This window comes from Homo sapiens, chromosome 15 (genome assembly GCF_000001405.40).
Source record: "Homo sapiens chromosome 15, GRCh38.p14 Primary Assembly".
Taxonomy (NCBI): domain Eukaryota; kingdom Metazoa; phylum Chordata; class Mammalia; order Primates; family Hominidae; genus Homo; species Homo sapiens.
Window position 1 is genome coordinate 87250692 of NC_000015.10, and position 18635 is coordinate 87269326.

Consider the following 18635-nt stretch of genomic DNA (forward strand, 5'->3'; position numbering starts at 1 on the left):
AAAATTTTCTCCCATTCTGCAGGTTGCCTGTTCATTCGGATGGTAGTTTCTTTTGCTGTGCAGAAACTCTTTAGTTTAATTAGATCCCATTTGTCAGTTTCGGCTTTTGTTGCCATTGATTATGGCGTTTTAGACATGAAGTCCTTGCCCATGCCTATGTCCTGAATGGTATTGCCTAGGTTTTCTTCTAGGGTTTTTATGGTTTTAGGTCTAACATTTAAGTCTTTAATCCATCTTGAATTAATTTTTGTATAAGGTGTAAGGAAGGGATCCAGTTTCAGCTTTCTACATATGGATAGCCAGTTTTCCCAGATCCTTTCCCCATTTCTTGTTTTTGTCAGGTTTCTCAAAGATCAGATAGTTGTAGATGTTTGGCATTATTTCTGAGGGCTCTGTTCTGTTGCATTGGTCTATATCTCTGTTTTGGTACCAGTACCATGCTGTTTTCATTACTGTAGCCTTGTAGTATAGTTTGAAGTCAGGTAGCATGATGCCTCCAGCTTTGTTCTTTTGGCTTAGGATTGACTTGGCAATGCGGGCTCTTTTTTGGTTCCATATGAACTTTAAAGTAGTTTTTTTTTTTTTCAATTCTGTGAAGAAAGTCATTGGGAGCTTGATGGGGATGGCATTGAATGTATAAATTACCTTGGGCAGTATGGCCATTTTCACGATATTGATTCTTCCTACCCATGAGCATGGAATGTTCTTCCATTTATTTGTATCCTCTTTTATTTCATTGAGCAGTGGTTTGTAGTTCTCCTTGAAGAGGTCCTTCACATCCCTTGGAAGCTGGATTCCTAGGTATTTTATTCTCTTTGAAGCAACTGTGAATGGGACTCATGATTTGACTCTTTGTCTGTCTGTTATTGGTGTATTAGAATGCTTGTGATTTTTGCACATTGATTTTGTATCCTGAGACTTTGCTGAAATTGCTTATTAGCTTAAGGAGATTTTGGGCTGAGACAATGGGGTTTTCTAGATATACATTCATGTCATCTACAAACAAGGAGAATTTGACTTCCTCTTTTCCTAATTGAATACCCTTTATTTCCTTCTCCTGCCTGATTGCCCTGGCCAGAACTTCCAGCACTATACTGAATAGGAGTGGTGAGAGAGGGCATCCCTGTCTTGTGCCAGTTTTCAAAGTGAATGCTTCCAGTTTTTGCCCATTCAGTATGATATTGGCTGTGGGTTTGTCATAGATAGCTCTTATTATTTTGATACATCCCATCAATACCTAATTTATTGAGAGTTTTTAGCATGAAGGTTGTTGAATTTTGTCAAAGGCCTTTTCTGCATCTATTGAGATAATCATGTGGTTTTTGTCGTTGGTTCTGTTTATATGCTGGATTACATTTATTGATTTGCATATGTTGAACCAGCCTTGCATCCCAGGGATGAAGCCCACTTGATCATGGTGGATAAGCTTTTTGATGTGCTGCTGGATTCGGTTTGCCAGTATTTTATTGAGGATTTTTGCATCGATGTTCATCAGGGATATTGGTCTAAAATTCTCTTTTTTTGTTGTGTCTCTGCCAGGCTTTGGTATCAGGATAATGCTGGCCTCATAAGATGAGCTAGGGAGGATTCCCTCTTTTTCTATTGATTGGAATAGTTTCAGAAGGAATGGTAGCAGCTCCTCCTTGTACCTCTAGTAGAATTCGGCTGTGAATCCGTCTGGTCCTGGACTTTTTTTGGTTGGTAAGCTATTAATTATTGCCTCAATTTCAGAGCCTGTTATTGGTCTATTCAGAGATTCAAATTCTTCCTGGTTTAGTCTTGGGAGGGTGTATGTGTCGAGGAATTTATCCATTTCTTCTAGATTTTCAAGTTTATTTGCGTGGAGGTGTTTATAGTATTCTCTGATGGTAGTTTGTATTTCTGTGGTGTCAGTGGTGATATCCCGTTTATCATTTTTTATTGCTTCTATTTGATTCTTCTCTCTCTTCTTCTTTATTAGTCTTGCTAGTGGTCTATCAATTTTGTTGATCTTTTCAAAAAATCAGCTCCTGGATTCATTGATTTTTTTGAACGGTTTTTCGTGTCTCTATCTCCTTCAGTTCTACTCTGATCTTAGTTATTTCTTGCCTTCTGCTAGCTTTTGAATGTGATTGCTCATGCTTCTCTAGTTCTTTTAATTGTGATGTTAGGGTGTCAATTTTAGATCTTTCCCACTTTCTTTTTTGGGCATTTAGTGCTATAAATTTCCCTCTACACACTGCTTTGAATGTGTCCCAGAGATTCTGGTATGTTGTGTCTTTGTTCTCATTGGTTTCAAAGAACATCTTTATTTCTGCCTTCATTTCGTTATGTACCCAGTAGTCATTCAGGAGCAGGTTATTCAGTTTCCATGTAGTTGAGAGGTTTTGAGTGATTTCTTAATCCTGAGTTGTAGTTTGTTTGCACTGTGTTCTGAGAGACAGTTTGTTATAATTTCTGTTCTTTTACATTTGCTGAGGAGTGCTTTACTTCCAACTATGTGGTCAATTCTGGAATAAGTGCGGTGTGGTGTTGAGAAAAATGTATATTCTGTTGATTTGGGGTGGAGAGTTCTGTAGATGTCTATTAGGTCCGCTTGGTGCAGAGCTGAGTTCAATTCCTGGATATCCTTGTTAACTTTCTTTCCCATTGATCTGTCTAATGTTGACATTGGGGTGTTAAAGTCTCCCATTATTATTGTGTGGGAGTCTAAGTCTCTTTGTAGGTCTCTAAGGACTTGCTTTATGAATCTGGGTGCTCCTGTATTGGGTGCATATATATTTAGGATAGTTAGCTCTTCTTGTTGAATTGATCCCTTTACCATTATGTAATGGCCTTCTTTGTCTCTTTTGATCTTTGTTGGTTTAAAGTCTGTTTTATCAGAGACTAGGACGGCAACCCCTGCCTTTTTTTGCTGTCCATTTGCTTGGTAGATCTTCCTCCATCCCTTTATTTTGAGCCTATGTGTGTCTCTGCACATGAGATGGGTTTCCTGAATACAGCACATTGATGGGTCTTGACTCTTTATCCAATTTGCCAGTCTGTGTCTTTTAATTGGAACATTTAGTCCATTTACATTTAAGGTTAATATTGTTATGTGTGAATTTGATCCTGTTATTATGTTAGCTGGTTATTGTGCTCGTTAGTTGATGCAGTTTCTTCCTGGCCTCCATGGTCTTTACAATTTGGCATGTTATTGCACTGGCTGGTACCAGTTTTTCCTTTCCATGTTTAGTGCTTCCTTCAGGAGCTCTTGTAAGGCAGGCCTGGTGGTGACAAAATCTCTCAGCATTTGCTTGTCTGTAAAGTATTTTATTTCTCCTTCACTGATGAAGCTTAGTTAGGCTGGATATGAAATTCTGGGTTGAAAATTATTTTCTTTAAGAATGTTGAATATTGGCCCCCACTCTCTTCTGGCTTGTAGAGTTTCTGCCAAGAGAACAGCTGTTAGTCTGATGGGCTTCCCTTTGTGGGTAACCTGACCTTTCTCTCTGGATGCCCTTAACATTTTTTCCTTCATTTCAACTTTGGTGAATCTGACAATTATGTGTCTTGGAGTTGTTCTTCTCGAGGAGTATCTTTGTGGCATTCTCTGTATTTCCTAAATTTGAATGTTGGCCTGCCTTGCTAGATTGGGGAAGTTCTCCTGGATAATATCCTGCAGAGTGTTTTCCAACTTGGTTCCATTCTCCCCGTCACTTTCAGGTACACCAATCAGACATAGATTTGGTCTTTTCACCTAGTCCCATGTTTCTTGGAGGCTTTGCTTGTTTCTTTTTATTCTTTTTTCTCTAAACTTCTCTTCTTGCTTCATTTCATTCATTTGATCTTCCATCACTGATACACTTTCTTCCAGTTCATCGAATTGGCTACTGAAGCTTGTGCATTCGTCCCGTATTTCTCGTGCCTTGGTTTTCAGCTCCATCAGGTCCTTTAAGGACTTCTCTGCATTGGTTATTCTAGTTAGCCATTCATCTAATTTTTTTCAAGGTTTTTAACTTCTTTGCCATGGGTTCTAATTTCCTCCTTTAGATCAGAGTAGTTTGATTGTCTGAAGCCTCCTTCTCTCAACTCGTCAACATCATTCTCCTTCCAGCTTTGTTCTGTTGCTGGTGAGGAGCTGCATTCCTTTGGAGGAGGAGAGGTGCTCTGATTTTTAGAATTTTCAGTTTTTCTGTTCTGTTTTTTCCCCATCTTTGTGGTTTTATCTACCTTTGGTCTTTCATGATGGTGACGTACAGATGGGGTTTCAGTGTGGATGTCCTTTCTGTTTGTTCGTTTTCCTTCTAACAGTCGGGACCCTTAGCTGTAGGTCTGTTGGAGTTTGCCAGAGGTCCACTCCAGACCCTGCTTGCCTGGGTATGAGCAGCGGAGGCTGCAGAACAGTGAATATTGGTGAACAGCAAATGATGCTGCCTGATTGTTCCTCTGGAAGTTTTGTCTCAGAAGGGTACCCAGCTGTGTGAGGTGTCAGTCTGCCCCTACTGTTGGGTGTCTCCCAGTTAGGCTACTCAGGGGTCAGGGACCCACTTGAGGAGGCAGTCTGTCTGTTCTCAGATCTCAAACTCCGTGCTGGGAGAACCACTACTCTCTTCAAACTGTCAGACAGACATTTAAGTCCGCAGAGGTTAGTGCTGCCTTTTGTTTGGCTATGCCCTGCCCCCAGAGGTGGAGTCTACAGAGGCAGGCAGGCCTCCTTGAGCTGAGGTGGGCTCCACCCAGTTCGAGCTTCCTGGCCGCTTTGTTTACCTACTCAAGCCTCAGCAATGGCAGGCACCCCTCCCCCAGCCTCACTGCCACCTTGCAGTTTGATCTCAGACTGCTGTGCTAGCAATGAGTGAGGCTCCGTGGGCGTAGGACCCTCTGAGCCAGGCACGGGATATAATCTCCTGGTATGCCGTTTGCTAAGACAGTTGGAAAAGAACAGTATTAGGGTGGGAGTGACCTGATTTTCCAGGTGCCATCTGTCACCCCTTTCCTTGGCTAGGAAAGGGAATTCCCTGACCCCTTGCGCTTCCTGGGTGAGGCGATGCCTCACCCTGCTTCGGCTCACACTTGGTGAGCTGCACTGTCCTGCACCACTTTCCAACAATCCCCAGTGAGATGAACCCAGTACCTCAGTTGGAGATGCAGAAATCAATCGTCTTCTGCATCGCTCATGCTGGGAGCTGTAGACTGGAGCTGTTCCTTTTCGGCCATCTTGGAACCCTTTTTTAAATTTAAAATCACTGGTTGATCATTTAGAATTTGGAAGAGGGAATCAGGGTAGAAAGAGGGGAAAAGGAAGAAAAAGGAGATACAGCATGTATTAAAAATGAGAAGTTATATATTTACATTTATATTGCACACTTCCAAATAGCATCCCTGGGCATCTAAAATTACCTGTGGCTCTTATTTTGAGAACCAACTTAATGACCATTCCAGGAGGTACATAAGAGCACAAGTCCCCAGTCAATGAAATTAAAAGCAAGTAGAAAGGGAGAAAATGATGCAAAATATTTGCAAATAATAAAAGTAAGATTATGGGTGTTCTTTCGTCTTTCTTTATCTGTGTATTTTCTAACTATTAACTTGAAATTGGTGAGCATGTATGGATTTTAAAATAAAAAGAAAAATGTTACTTGAAAGAATGGTGGCAGTGGATGCATATCAATCTTATTTTGATGTTGAGCAAGTATAACAATGTCTGGCTTGAGAACCCTTATTCACTAGACTTGTATTTGGGTGACAAAAAATATAAATAACCCTAATCTTCAATAAAAGCAGAGAGTAATTCTTTCCACCAGTGTATGGCCTAGGGAATATGATGGTAAGCCCCCAAAATAGAGTTCTTCAGGTGACTTGAGCAACAAAAGCATCATTTTTAGAAGTGAATGCCTTCCCAAGGGGATTATATTGAAGGGTCTAAGATTATCTTGGCGCTCTCAAGTTTGTTAAACATCTGTCACAGTACATTACAGCTTCACCCAGTTGTCTACAGAACCAAAAGAAGAAGAAAGAGTTTAAAAGCAAGTGGAAAACAATGACAGACTTGAACTTTGAAATACCTTCTCATATTGGTTGCTAAAGCACCATATGCACCTGATTTCTTTTCATTATTATTATTATTATTATACTTTCAGTTCTAGGGTACATGTGCACAATGTGTAGGTTTGATACATAGGTATACATGCGCTAAGTTGGTTTGCCACACCCGTCAACTCATCATTTACATTAGGTATTTCTCCTAATGCTATCCCTCCCCCAGTCCCCCACCCCACAACAGGCCCTGGTGTGTGATGTTCCCTGCCCTGTGTCCAAGTGATCTGATTGTTCAATTCCCACCTATGAGTGAGAACATGCAGTGTTTGGTTTTCTGTCCTTGTGACAGTTTGCTGAGAATGATAGTTTCCAGATTCATCCATGTCCCTGCAAAGGAAATGAACTAATCCTTTTTTATGGTTGCAAAGTATTCCATGTTGTATATGAGCCACATTTTCTTAATCCAGTCTATCATTGATGGACATTTGGGTTGGTTCCAAGTCTTTGCTATTGTGAATAGTGCCGCAATAAATATACATGTGCATGTGTCTTTATGGTAGCATGACTTATAATCCTTTGGGTATATACCCAGTAATGGGATTGCTGGGTCAAATGGTAATTCTAGATCCTTGAGGAATCACCACACTGTCTTCCACAATGGTTGAACTAATTTACATTCCCACCGACAGTGTAAAAGTGTTCCTATTTCTCCATATCCTCTCCAGCATCTGTTGTTTCCTGACTCTTTAATAATTGCCATTCTAACTGGCATGAGATGGTATCCCATTGTGGTTTTGATTTGCATTTCTCTGATGACCAGTGATGATGAGCATTTTTTCATGTGTCTGTTGGCTGCATAGATGTCTTCTTTTGAGAAGTGTCTGTTCATATCCTTTGCCCACTTTTTGATGGGGTTGTTTTTTTCTTTTAAATTTGTTTGAGTTCTTTGTAGATTCTGGATATTAGCCCTTTGCCAGATGGGTAGATTGCAAAATTTTTCTCGCATTCTGTATGTTGCCTGTTCACTCTGATGGTAGTTTATTTTGCCATGCAGAAGCTCTTTAGTTTAATTGGATCCCATTTGTCTATTTTGGCTTCTGTTGCCGTTGCTTTTGGTGTTTTAGACATGAAGTCCTTGCCCATGCCTATGTCCTGAATGGTATTGCCTAGGTTTTCTTCTAAGGTTTTTATGGTTTTAGGTCTAACATTTATGTCTTTAATTCATCTTAAATTAATTTTTGTAAAAGATGTAAGGAAGCGATCCAGTTTCAGCTTTCTACATATGGCTAGCCCGTTTTCCCAGCACCATTTATTAAATAGGGAATCCTTTCCCTATTTCTTGTTTTTGTCAGGTTTGTCAAAGATCAGATGGTTGTAGGTATGTGGTGTTATTTCTGAGGCCTCTCTTCTGTTCTATGGGTCTACATCTCTGTTTTGGTACCATTACCATGATGTTTTGGTTACTGTAGCCTTGTAGTATAGTTTGAAGTCACGTAGCATGATGCCTCCAGCTTTGTTCTTTTTGCTTAGGATTGTCTTGGCAATGTGAGCTTTTTTTTTTTTTGTTCCATATGAACTTTAAAGTAGTTTTTTTTTCAATTCTGTGAAGAAAGTCATTGGTAGCTTAATGGGGATGGCAATAAATCTATAAATTACTTTGGGCAGCATGGCCATTTTCATGATATTGATTCTTTCTATCCATGAACATGGAATATTCTTCCATTTGTTTGTGTCCTCTTTTATTTCGTTGAGCAGTGGTTTGTATTTCTCCTTGAAGAGGTCCTTCACATCCTTGTAAGTTGGATTCCTAGGCATTTTATTCTCTTTGTAGCAATTGTGAATGGGATTTCACTCATGATTTAGCTCTCTGTCTGTTAATGCTGTATAGAAATGCTTGTGATTTTTGCACATTGGTTTTGTATCCTGAGACTTTGCTGAAGTTACTTATCAGGTTAAGGAGATTTTGGGTTGAGATGATCAGGTTTTCTAAAGTTACAATGATGTCATCTGCAAACAGGGACAATTTGACTTCCTCATTTCCTAATTGAATACACTTTATTTCTTTCTCTTGCCTGATTGCCCTGGCCAGAACTTCCAACACTATGTTGAATAGGAGTTGTGAGAGAAGGCATCCTTGTCTTGTGCCAGTTTTCAAAGGGAATGCTTCCAGTTTTTGCTCATTCAGTATGATATTGGCTGTGGGTTTGTCATAAATAGCTCTTATTATTTTGAGATATGTTCCAACAATACCTAGTTTATTGAGAGTTTTTAACATGAAGTGCTGTTGTATATTGTCAAAGGCCTTTTCTGCATCTATGGAGATAATCATGTGGTTTTTGTCTTTGGTTCTGTTTATGTGATGGATTATGTTTATTGATTTGTGTATGTTGAACCAGCCTTGCATCCCAGGGATGAAGCCAACTTGATCGTGATGGGTAAGCTTTTTGATGTGCTGCTGGATTTAGTTTTCCAGTATTTTATTGAGGATTTTTGCATCAATGTTTATCACGGATATTGGTCTAAAATTCTCTTTTGTTTGTTGTGTCTCTGCCAGGCTTTGGTATCAGGATGATGTTGGCCTCATAAAATGATTTAGGGAGGTTTCCCTCTCTTTCTATTAATTGGAATAATTTCAGAAGGAATGGTCCCAGCTCCTCTTTGTACCTCCAGTAGAATTCGGCTGTGAATCTGACTGGTCCTGGACTTTTTTTGGTTGATAGGCTATTAATTATTGCCTAAATTTCAGAGCCTGTTATTGGTCTATTCAGAGATTCAACTTCTTCCTGGTTTAGTCTTGGGAGGGTGTATTTGTTGAGGAATTTATCCATTTCTTCTAGTTTTTCTAGTTTATTTGCATAGAGGTGTTCATAGTATTCTCTGATGGTCGTTTGTATTTCTGTGGGATTGGTGGTGATATCCCCTTTATCATTTTTTTTTTTTTTTGCGTCTATTTGATTCTTCTCTCTTTTCTTCTTTATTGGTCTTGCTAGCTGTCCATCAATTTTTTTGATCTTTTCAGAAAACCGCCTCCTAGATTCCTTGATTTTTGAAGGGTTTTCTGTGTCTCTATCTCTTTGAGTTCTGCTCTGATCTTAGTTATTTCTTGTCTTTTGCTAGCTTTTGAATTTGTTTGCTCTTGCTTCTTTACTTCTTTTAATTGTGAGGTTAGGGTGTGGATTTTAGATCTTGCTCTCTCTTGTGGACATTTAGTGCTATAAATTTCCCTCTACACACTGCTTTAAATGTGTCCTAGAGATTCTGGTATGTTGTGTCTTCTCATTGGTTTCAAAGAACATCTTTATTTCTGCCTTCATTTCGTTATTTACCTAGTAGTCATTCAGGAGCAAGTTGTTCAGTTTCCTTGTAGTTGTGCAGTTTTGAGTGAGTTTCTTAATCCTGAGTTCTAATTTGATTGCACTGTGGTCTGAGAGACAGTTTGTTGTGATTTCTATTCTTTTACATTTGCTGAGGAGTGCTTTACTTCCAATTATGTGGTCAATTTTAGAATAAGTGTGATGTGCTGAGAAGAATGTATATTCTCTTGACTTGGGGTGAAGAGTTCTGTACATGTCTATTAGGTCTGCTTGTTGCAGAGCCGAGTTCAGGTCCTGGATATCGTTGTTAACCTTCTGTCTCATTGATCTGTCTAATACTGACAGTGGGGTGTTAAAGTATCCCATTATTATTGAGTGGGAGTCTTAGTCCCTTTGTAGGTCTCTAAGGACTTGCTTTATGAATCTGGGTGCTCCTGTATTAGGTGCATGTATATTTAGGACAGTTAGCTCTTCTTGTTGAATTGATCTCTTTACCGTTATGTAATGGCCTTCTTTGTCTCATTTGATCTTTGTTTGTTTAATGTCTGTTTTATCAGAGACTAGGATTGCAATCCCTGCTTTTTTTTTTTTTTTTTTTTTTTTTTTGGCTTTCCATTTGCTTGTTAGATCTTCCTCCATCCCTTTATTTTGACCCTCTGTGCATCTTTGCATGTGAGATGGGTCTCCTGTATACAGCACACTAAACGTTCTTAACTCTTTATCCAATTTGCCAGTCTGTGTCTTTTAATTGGGCATTTAGCCTATTTACATTTAAGGTTAATACTGTTATGTGTGAATTTGATCCTGTCATTATGATGTAAGCTGGTTATTTTGCCCATTAATTGATGGAGTTTCTTCATAGCATTGATGATCTTTACAATTTGGCATGTTTTTGCAGTGGCTGATACCAGTTGTTTCTTTCCATGTTTAGTGCTTCCTTCAGGAGAAGCTCTTGTAAAGCTGGCCTGGTGGTGACAAGATCTCTCAGCGTTTGCTTGTCTGTAAAGGATTTTATTTCTCCTTCACTTATGAAGCTTAGTTTGGCTGGATATTAAATTCTAGGTTGAAAATTATTTTCTTTAAGGACGTTGAATATTGGCCCCCACTCTCTTCTGGCTTTTAGGGTTTCTGCCGAGAGATCAGCTGTTAGTCTGATGGGCTACCCTTTGTAGGTAATTCAGCCTTTCTCTCTGGCTGCCGTTAACACTTTTTCCTTCATTTCAACCTTGGAGAATATGACAATTATGTGTCATGGGGTTGCTATTCTCAAGGAGTATCTTTGTGGCGTTCTCTGCATTTCCTGAATTTGAATGTTGGCCTGCCTTGCTAGGTTGGGGAAGTTCTCCTGGTTAATATCTTGAAGAGTCTTTTCCAACTTGGTTCCATTCTCCTCATCACTTTCAAGTACACCAATCAAACGTAGGTTTGGTCTTTTCACATAGTCTTATATTTCTTGGAGGCTTTGTTCATTTCTTTTTACTCTTTTTTCCTCTAAAATTATCGTCTCACTTTATTTCATTAATTTGATCTTGCCATGGTTTTCAGCTCCATCAGGTCATTTAAGGTCTACACTGTTTATTCTAGTTAGCCATTCGTCTAATCTTTTTTCAAGGATGTTAGCTTCTTTGCGATGGGCTTGAACATCCTCCTTTAGCTTGGAGGAGTTGGTTATCACTGACCTTCTGAAGCCTACTTCTGTCATCTCATCAATGTCATTCTCCATCCAGTTTGTTCCATTGCTGGGGAGGAGCTGCGATCCTTTGGAGGAGAAGAGGTGCTCTGATTTTTAGAATTTCAGCTTTTCTTCACTGGTTTCTCCCCATCTTTGTGGTTTGATCTTTGATCTTTGATGTTGGCGACCTACAGATGGGGTTTTGGTGTAGAGGACCTTTTTGTTGATGTTGATGCTATTCCTTTCTGTTTGTTAGTTTTCCTTCTAACAGTCAGGTCCCTCAGCTGCAGGTCTGTTGGAGTTTGCTGGACTTCCACTCCAGACCCTGTTTGCCTGGGTATCACCAGCAGAGGCTGCAGAACAGCAAATATTGCTTCCTGATCCTTTCTCTGGAAGCTTCGTCCTAGATGGGCAGCCGCTTATGAGGTGTCTGTCAACCCCTACTGGGAGGTGTCTGCCAGTTAGGCTACACGGGGGTCAGGGACCCACTTGAGGAGGCAGTCTGTCCATTCTCAGAGCTCAAACACAGTGCTGGGAGAACCACTGCTCTCTTCAGAGCTGTCAGACAGGGACGTTTAAGTCTGCAGTTGTCTGCTGCCTTTTGTTCAGCTATGCCCTGCCCTCAGAGGTAGAGTCCTTGCAGATCGATCTCAGACTGCTGTGTTAGCAGTGAGCAAGGCTCTGTGGGTGTGGGACCTGCTGAGCCAGGCATGGGAGAGAATTACCTTATCTGCTGGTTGCTAAGACCTTGGGAAAAGTGCAGTATTTGGGTGAGAGTGTCCTGTTTTTCTAGGTAGTCTGTTCCAGCTTCCCTTGGCTAGGAAAGGGAAATTCCCTGGCCCCTTGTGCTTCCCGGGTGAGGCAACACCCCAACCCTGCTTCATCTCGCCCTTCATGGGCTGCACCCACCGTCCAACCAGTCCCAATGAGATGAACCAGGTACCTCAGTTGGAAATGCAGAAATCACCCATCTTCTGCATTGATCATGCTGGGAGCTGCAGACCAGAGCTGTTCCTATTCGGCCATCTTTCACCTGATTTCTAACCTACTTCACTGGCTACTCCCTCTGGGTCTCAGTTAATGATGCTCCCTCCTTTCCCAGCAAGTCTGGATACTTGAGCTTCCTGTGCTTAATCGCTCTTTAAGTGACATCATCTAACCACATGCCTTTATAGTCAATCTATATGCAGAGCATTACCACATTTACATCTCAACCTAGATTGCCCTGAGGTTGAGGCCCTGACATCCAACTATCTACTGAATAGCTCCACATGGATAACTGTTACGCATTTGAAACTTATTATGTCCAAAACCAAATCCCTGATCTTTCCTCCAACATAATCACTCTATAGTTTTCTTCATTTTATTTAAGGACAACTTTATATTTCTATTTACTGAGACTAAAAACATTGCAAAGTAATCCTTGATTCCTTTCTCTGTTTCTCACACCACATACCCAATCCCACCAACAAATCCTGTTGGTTCTACCTTCAAAACATAACCAGGAACCAGCATGTACTAGTACCTTTACCACCATACCCCTGGTCAAACTGCCACCATCTCACAGCTTGATAATAATGATATCCTCCTAACTGGTTACTCTGGTAACAATGTTGCTCACCTAGAGTCAGTTCCTAACATAGCAGCCATGTAATCATTTCAAAATGTAACTTAAATTGTGTTCTAACTCTGTTCAAGACTCACCAATGCCTTTCCATTTTACACAATGTGAAGCAAAAATCTTTACTAGCAGCTACCAGGTTGCTTAAAATCTCAACCTTCATTACTTCTATGACTTCCTTACCTATGACTCATCCTCAATCACTCTGGTCCAGCCACCTGGTCTTTTTGCTATACCTGAGCACTAAAGTCCCACTGCTACCTCAAGACCTTTGCACTTGCTGTTCTTTGAGCTGGAAATACTCTTTTCCATATAACTTATGCTAGAGTTCCCTTCCTCATTTGAGTGATGAATTTAATTTATATTTTACAAATGAAATGCTTACTTTTAATGGGAAGAAGCACAATTACTTTTGCACCAACCTAATAAAATGAAATAGACTCAGTAGCTAGCTAGTGATTTATTTTCTCGTGAAAAGACACATGATGAATTAGGAGTTTGGCAGGACTTATTTCACAAGATACAGGTTACAAAGACCCCATTAATAAAACAGGATGCAGTAAAGAAGCCAGCCAAAACCCACCAAAACCATGATGGCAACAAATGTGACCTCTGGTCATCCTCACTGCTCATTAAATATTAATTATGAGACATTAGCATACTAAAGGAAACTCCCATGTGTGCCATGACAGTTTACAAATGCCATGGCAATCCGGAAATTGCCTTATATGGCCTGAAAGGGGAAGGAACCCTCCGTTTTGGGAAACTCCAGCCTTTTTCCCAGAAAACTCATAAATTACCCACTCCTTGTTTAGCATATGATCAAGAAATAACCATAAAAATAGCCAGCAGCTATCAGGGCTGCTCTGCCTAGGGAGCAGCCACCTTTTTATTCCTTTATTTTCTTAAAGAACTTGCTTTCACTTTACTCTGTTGGCTTGCTCTTGAATTTTTTTGCAAATCCAAGAACCCCCATGGCCTCCTGAGCTGAACCCCAGTTTTGGAGTTTACCTTGTGACAATCACATGAAAGTAAAGGTCTGTCTCTAATTCCAAACAAAACCTGACCCATCCAACACCAGCCAGGTGCTGGAAGAATGACATGGAAATTATAACCTGAGATAAGTCAGTATCTTCCACACCCATGGAACTGGTCTCAGGAAGGAGAACTCATGGCTTAAAAAAACCTAAGCCTAGGGACTCTAGGAAATCATCTGTGTGAATTTTACTTGAAGAGACCCTTAGCTCACTAATTTTAAATGGACGCTCCGGTTTCCTTATTGGTGCAATTTCACTGTTGCATATCACAAACCAAGCACGTGAAGCAGCTCTCCTCTCACTCTTGAATGTGTTTCTTTTTATATTTCCTGCCAGTTAGCATACTCAAGTAACGAGATAAATTGGTTTTATAGGAAAGCAGAGAAATATATGAAGAACAGTTTATGTAGGGTCAAACCCTTAAAGAGTTAAAGACATTCTACATATAAAATTCAAGCAATAATATCTACCTTCAAGTAACACATGACTGTTAGACTTACCACATGCAAAGCACTGTGGAATCACCGTAGATCCCATAAAAGGAAGAAGACAAGACTTTGGCCTGAAGGAGTTTATAAAGCAGCCTAGGAACATATGACTCTTAAATGTAATTAATAGGGTGGTAAGTTCTATAATTAAGCTACAAAGAGCTTTAGGCAGAAAAAGAAGCATGAGGACAAATTTAATTTAAATAGATGTAAGGGAAATTTCATGAGGTGACATCTTTTTATATGGGCTTTGAAGGACAAATTGAATCTCAATAAGTAGGCAAGCTCTTGTTTATGTAGTTATTCATTCATTCGTCACAATAAATACTTACTGAAAACCTTCCAAGTTTCTATGAAATCTTTTGGATGCAAAAGAGGTGTTCCTCAATCAGAAAAAAAAGAGGGTCTAGAGAGGTGCAGAAGCATGAGAAAATTAGCAAAACAAAATCAGGTGAGGAATTGGGAAGAGGAAAGATAAAAGGGTCGTTAGTTAATAAAATAAGACTGGGGGAGTGAGAAGCAGAGAAAATGGAAATGGAATCTGTTTCTGAAAGTGTATGATTTTAATAAAAAGTTCAAGAGAAGTGTCAGTTACTATTATTATAATCAATAGTCTCAAATGGTGTGCTGAAATGTTTTGAATTTATGTAATAGCAAGGTTTTTTTGAGCAGGGGAATGATAGTCTCAGTACCCTTCTTAGGAGGAAAAAAAATGCTAATAAGCCCCACAGAGCATTGGGATAATGGGGTTCCTCTGACACAAATTCTGCAAATGCCTCCCTGAAAGAGTTCATTCTGTGTCTGCTCCAGGGCATTCTTAACCCATTTAGATATAAAATAAACCAGGGAGGCACAAGGCAGCAAATTTGGTTATAAGGCAACTGGCTTTAAAAGGATTTTTTGAAAACTATTAAATGTGTCTGATGTGCCAAACACAATTGTTTTTGGACTTGAATTATGGTTTTCTTGAATTATGGTTTTTTTAATTATGGTTTTTTGGACTTGAATTATGGACTGATTGATACAGTGATGACTGTTGGCCATATCTCTTTAAACGCTCTGAGGCCCCAGCCAATCTTTCTTTGCTATGACCATCTTAAACATTTTCATTTGCCCAGCACAGCATGCCTCACATTTCCAAGCTATACAACAAGCCGTTGTGATTAAATATACTCCAGGCTCTCTACTCCGTCTTGTTCTATAGACACATTGGCCATCAGTGTTTGTGTATTTAAATACATATATTCAATTTATGTGGACTACGGTGAGGTTACATGAAATAAGTCCACCTGAGAGTGTTTATCTTCATCTCTTACCTGGTAGTCTCTCTTTAAATCTGGCTAGGGGTGATCACCTGTCTGCCAAGATTAAAAAGTAGACAACTGTCCAGGATGTATATATGACATTAGGTATACAGAGTTCACCAGTTCAAATAGAATTAGAATTTAGCTCCCTTATTTAGTCAGGTCTCCCCTATCCTCACAGGGTAGCTTCAGTAAACTCCCATATGGCCATAAGTAGAAATTTCTAGGTATATCATAGTTGGAAATTTACCAAACAATACAGTTTCTCCAGAAGCCAAAGACAGGCATTTAATTTGTCTCTGCAAACTTCCTGCCAGGTAATTTTATTGCCTTCCAAGCTAATTTTTTCCTAAGTGGCTTTTGTGATATACATGTAAACTTGAAGCAGACCTAAAAAGTGGACCTAAAAAAGCAGATGGTCAGGGCAGTGACCCCAGTGAATATATGCAGGGTCCCTCCCTGGGTACCTACGAAGATAATTGTTGACCTCTTTCCACTAAATAATAGTAAAATAATAGTAATAATAATAATAATAATAAAGATGTTCAAAAGGCAGGTTACAGGACAAAAATTGAGAAGACAAGAAATCAATGATTCAGACAAAGCACCAATGTTATCCTTTTCTCTTTGTTCAGGTCTATGGATTGATGATTTGTGTGGTGTTGAGGGTTTCACTGTATCCAGGGGACACAAGTGTGCAGTCAAGCTAATGCCAGCAGAGGCAGAGCCACAGAGAGTCCCAAAAAGGAAGGAAGTGGAGGATATTCCTTAAAATATTAACCTTCCTGGGGCTCAGTCTTTAGCTTCCTTTACTTCTCTCCACTGATGTCTCCCAAATCGTATTTTCAGATTCAAACTCTCCCCTGAACTTTAAACTCATTTTTTCAACTACTAACTACACCTGGATGTACTGCAGACCTGGAAGCAAACACGTCCAAAACAAAATTTGAACTCCTTCCTGAATCCATTCCCCGCAAGACTTTACCATCAAACTAAATGGCATCACCATTTACCCAGCTGCTAAGTCCAAATGTCCAGGCATAGGCATATTTACCAACTCCTCTTCTCTCTAATATCTCTTATACAATCCATTTAGCAAGTCCTGTTATTGCTATGTTAGCCTTATATTATGAACTTGATCAATTCCTATAAATTCTACTGCTAATACATAAAGTCAACCCCAATTATTTATCCCCTAGACTGTCATAAAAGACCTCTGAGTCCCCTACTTCCGGACTCTCCATGCGCTGTCCTGTGCCCTTTGCCTTAGCTTCTCCAGACATAGCATCCAGAAGGATCATTCCAAATGAAAAAAACAGATCACATCACTCACCTGCTCAAAATGCTCCCACCAGGTTTCAAATAAAATTGAAAATCTTTAGCAAGGTCTACAAGGCTCTTCATGGTGTGGGCCTACTTACCACTTAGACCTCATCCCCAGGTACCTCCCTGATCGCCCCTCACTCATTTTGCTGTACCCTATCCTTGTTGTGATTTCAAAATGTTCAGCTCCTTTTTGGATTTTATACTGTTTCATCTTCCCAGACTCTGCACCCCCAGGAGTTTTAAAGGGCAGGATGCTTCATGTCAGGTAGGTTTCTGTGAAAATTTGACCTTCTAGACCATTCTATTTAAAATAGTCTCCACCCTATCTCTGCCCTCTGTATACCATCCCAACTATAGCCAACTAAGTTTTTTTTTTCTTAGTACTCACATCACTTGAAATTGCATTATCTGTTCACTTGCTTAATACCTGTGGCTTTCAAAAGACAATAATTTCCACATACGGCAAGACTTTTTTATTCATTGCTGTTTCCTTAAAACTTAGACCAGCATCTGGTACGCAATAGATACTGAATACCTATTTAATGAATCAGAACACAACCCAAGGCCTGTGGGGAAGGATGAGATAACTGCTGACTGTCCAGCCACAGTGTGTGATGAGTGTGTTAAAACTATTTGGGATTTAGGTTTAAGAGACTTTCCATTTTGATATGCCATCTTATTAATTCAATACTTATTGTGCATAGTTTCTTACTAACTTTTCTCTTTTTAATGAGTACAAGAGAAATGAGTGGCCATGATCTTTCTTGTTTTATACAGCAATCACTCCCTTGAATGTTAGAATAGAAAATGAGATCCAAAGACTTTAAAAAAAAATAAAGGCCTGTGGTATGGTGGAAAAGATGTACTGAAGCTAGAATTATATGTTCATTGAGTGTTAGAATAGATGCCCCTTAGAGAAAACCTCAACCCTCTGCTGGAATTACTACCTCTGAATTAGAGATCATGGTATCCCTATAAAGGTTTAAGACTTGAATAATCTAAATAAGATTCAGAATTTAATTAAACTCCCATGTATGTACTATAATGGATATTACTAAGTATGAATTAAGATAAATATCCTTATCTTAAAAAATTCCAAATAAAGAGAAAAATATAAAATGTGCCAATACTGAAAAGAACTTAAGAAAGTAACTCAACTTTGGATGCTTCATCTGAAAAAAAAAAAAAAGAAAAATGAAATTAATTATATCTACCCCCACTCAACTATGATGAGGGATAAATAAGAAGTAGGTGAATAGGCTTTGATAACTATAATTTCCTAGAGAAAAAGAAGAATTATCAAGAGTATTACCAGATAGAGGGGTCCCCTTAGCTCCAGGGAGACTCTAGTCTCAATGAGTCGCATGGTTTAGACAATTTCCTTTGACTCAAGCAGAGGCCAGATGCAGTACCGCAGAGCAAACACAGATCTGGAAGGCAGGAGACTCAGATCCTTGTCCCATCCACAACATGACCTCATTAAGTTTTCTCAGGTCTTTCTCATTCTGTCTCTAATCTTGATTTTATTATCTATGGAAAGAGTAGTCCAAAGTTGTGAACTCTTAAGGGCCTGTCATCTCTGAATTCATGACTTTTTAAGTTCCTTGGTACAATCATAGTATTTTACTGCTAAATCTGTGAGCCTAAGCAGTTGCTATACCCACTCCCTGTATTTTCTTCTATCACAGTAAATTGAAGGAAATGTCTTGAGAATAAAACAGACCCCAGTCAGTCTCATACATGGCACTCCACAAATAGCTGGAGTATGGTTTTAGTGACCAGCTGTGCTAGACCATAGACATGGACTATTGCCTGGCACACCACTTTAACCCAAGAGACAGAAAAGTGCATACTCAAAGCAAAACAATAAGAT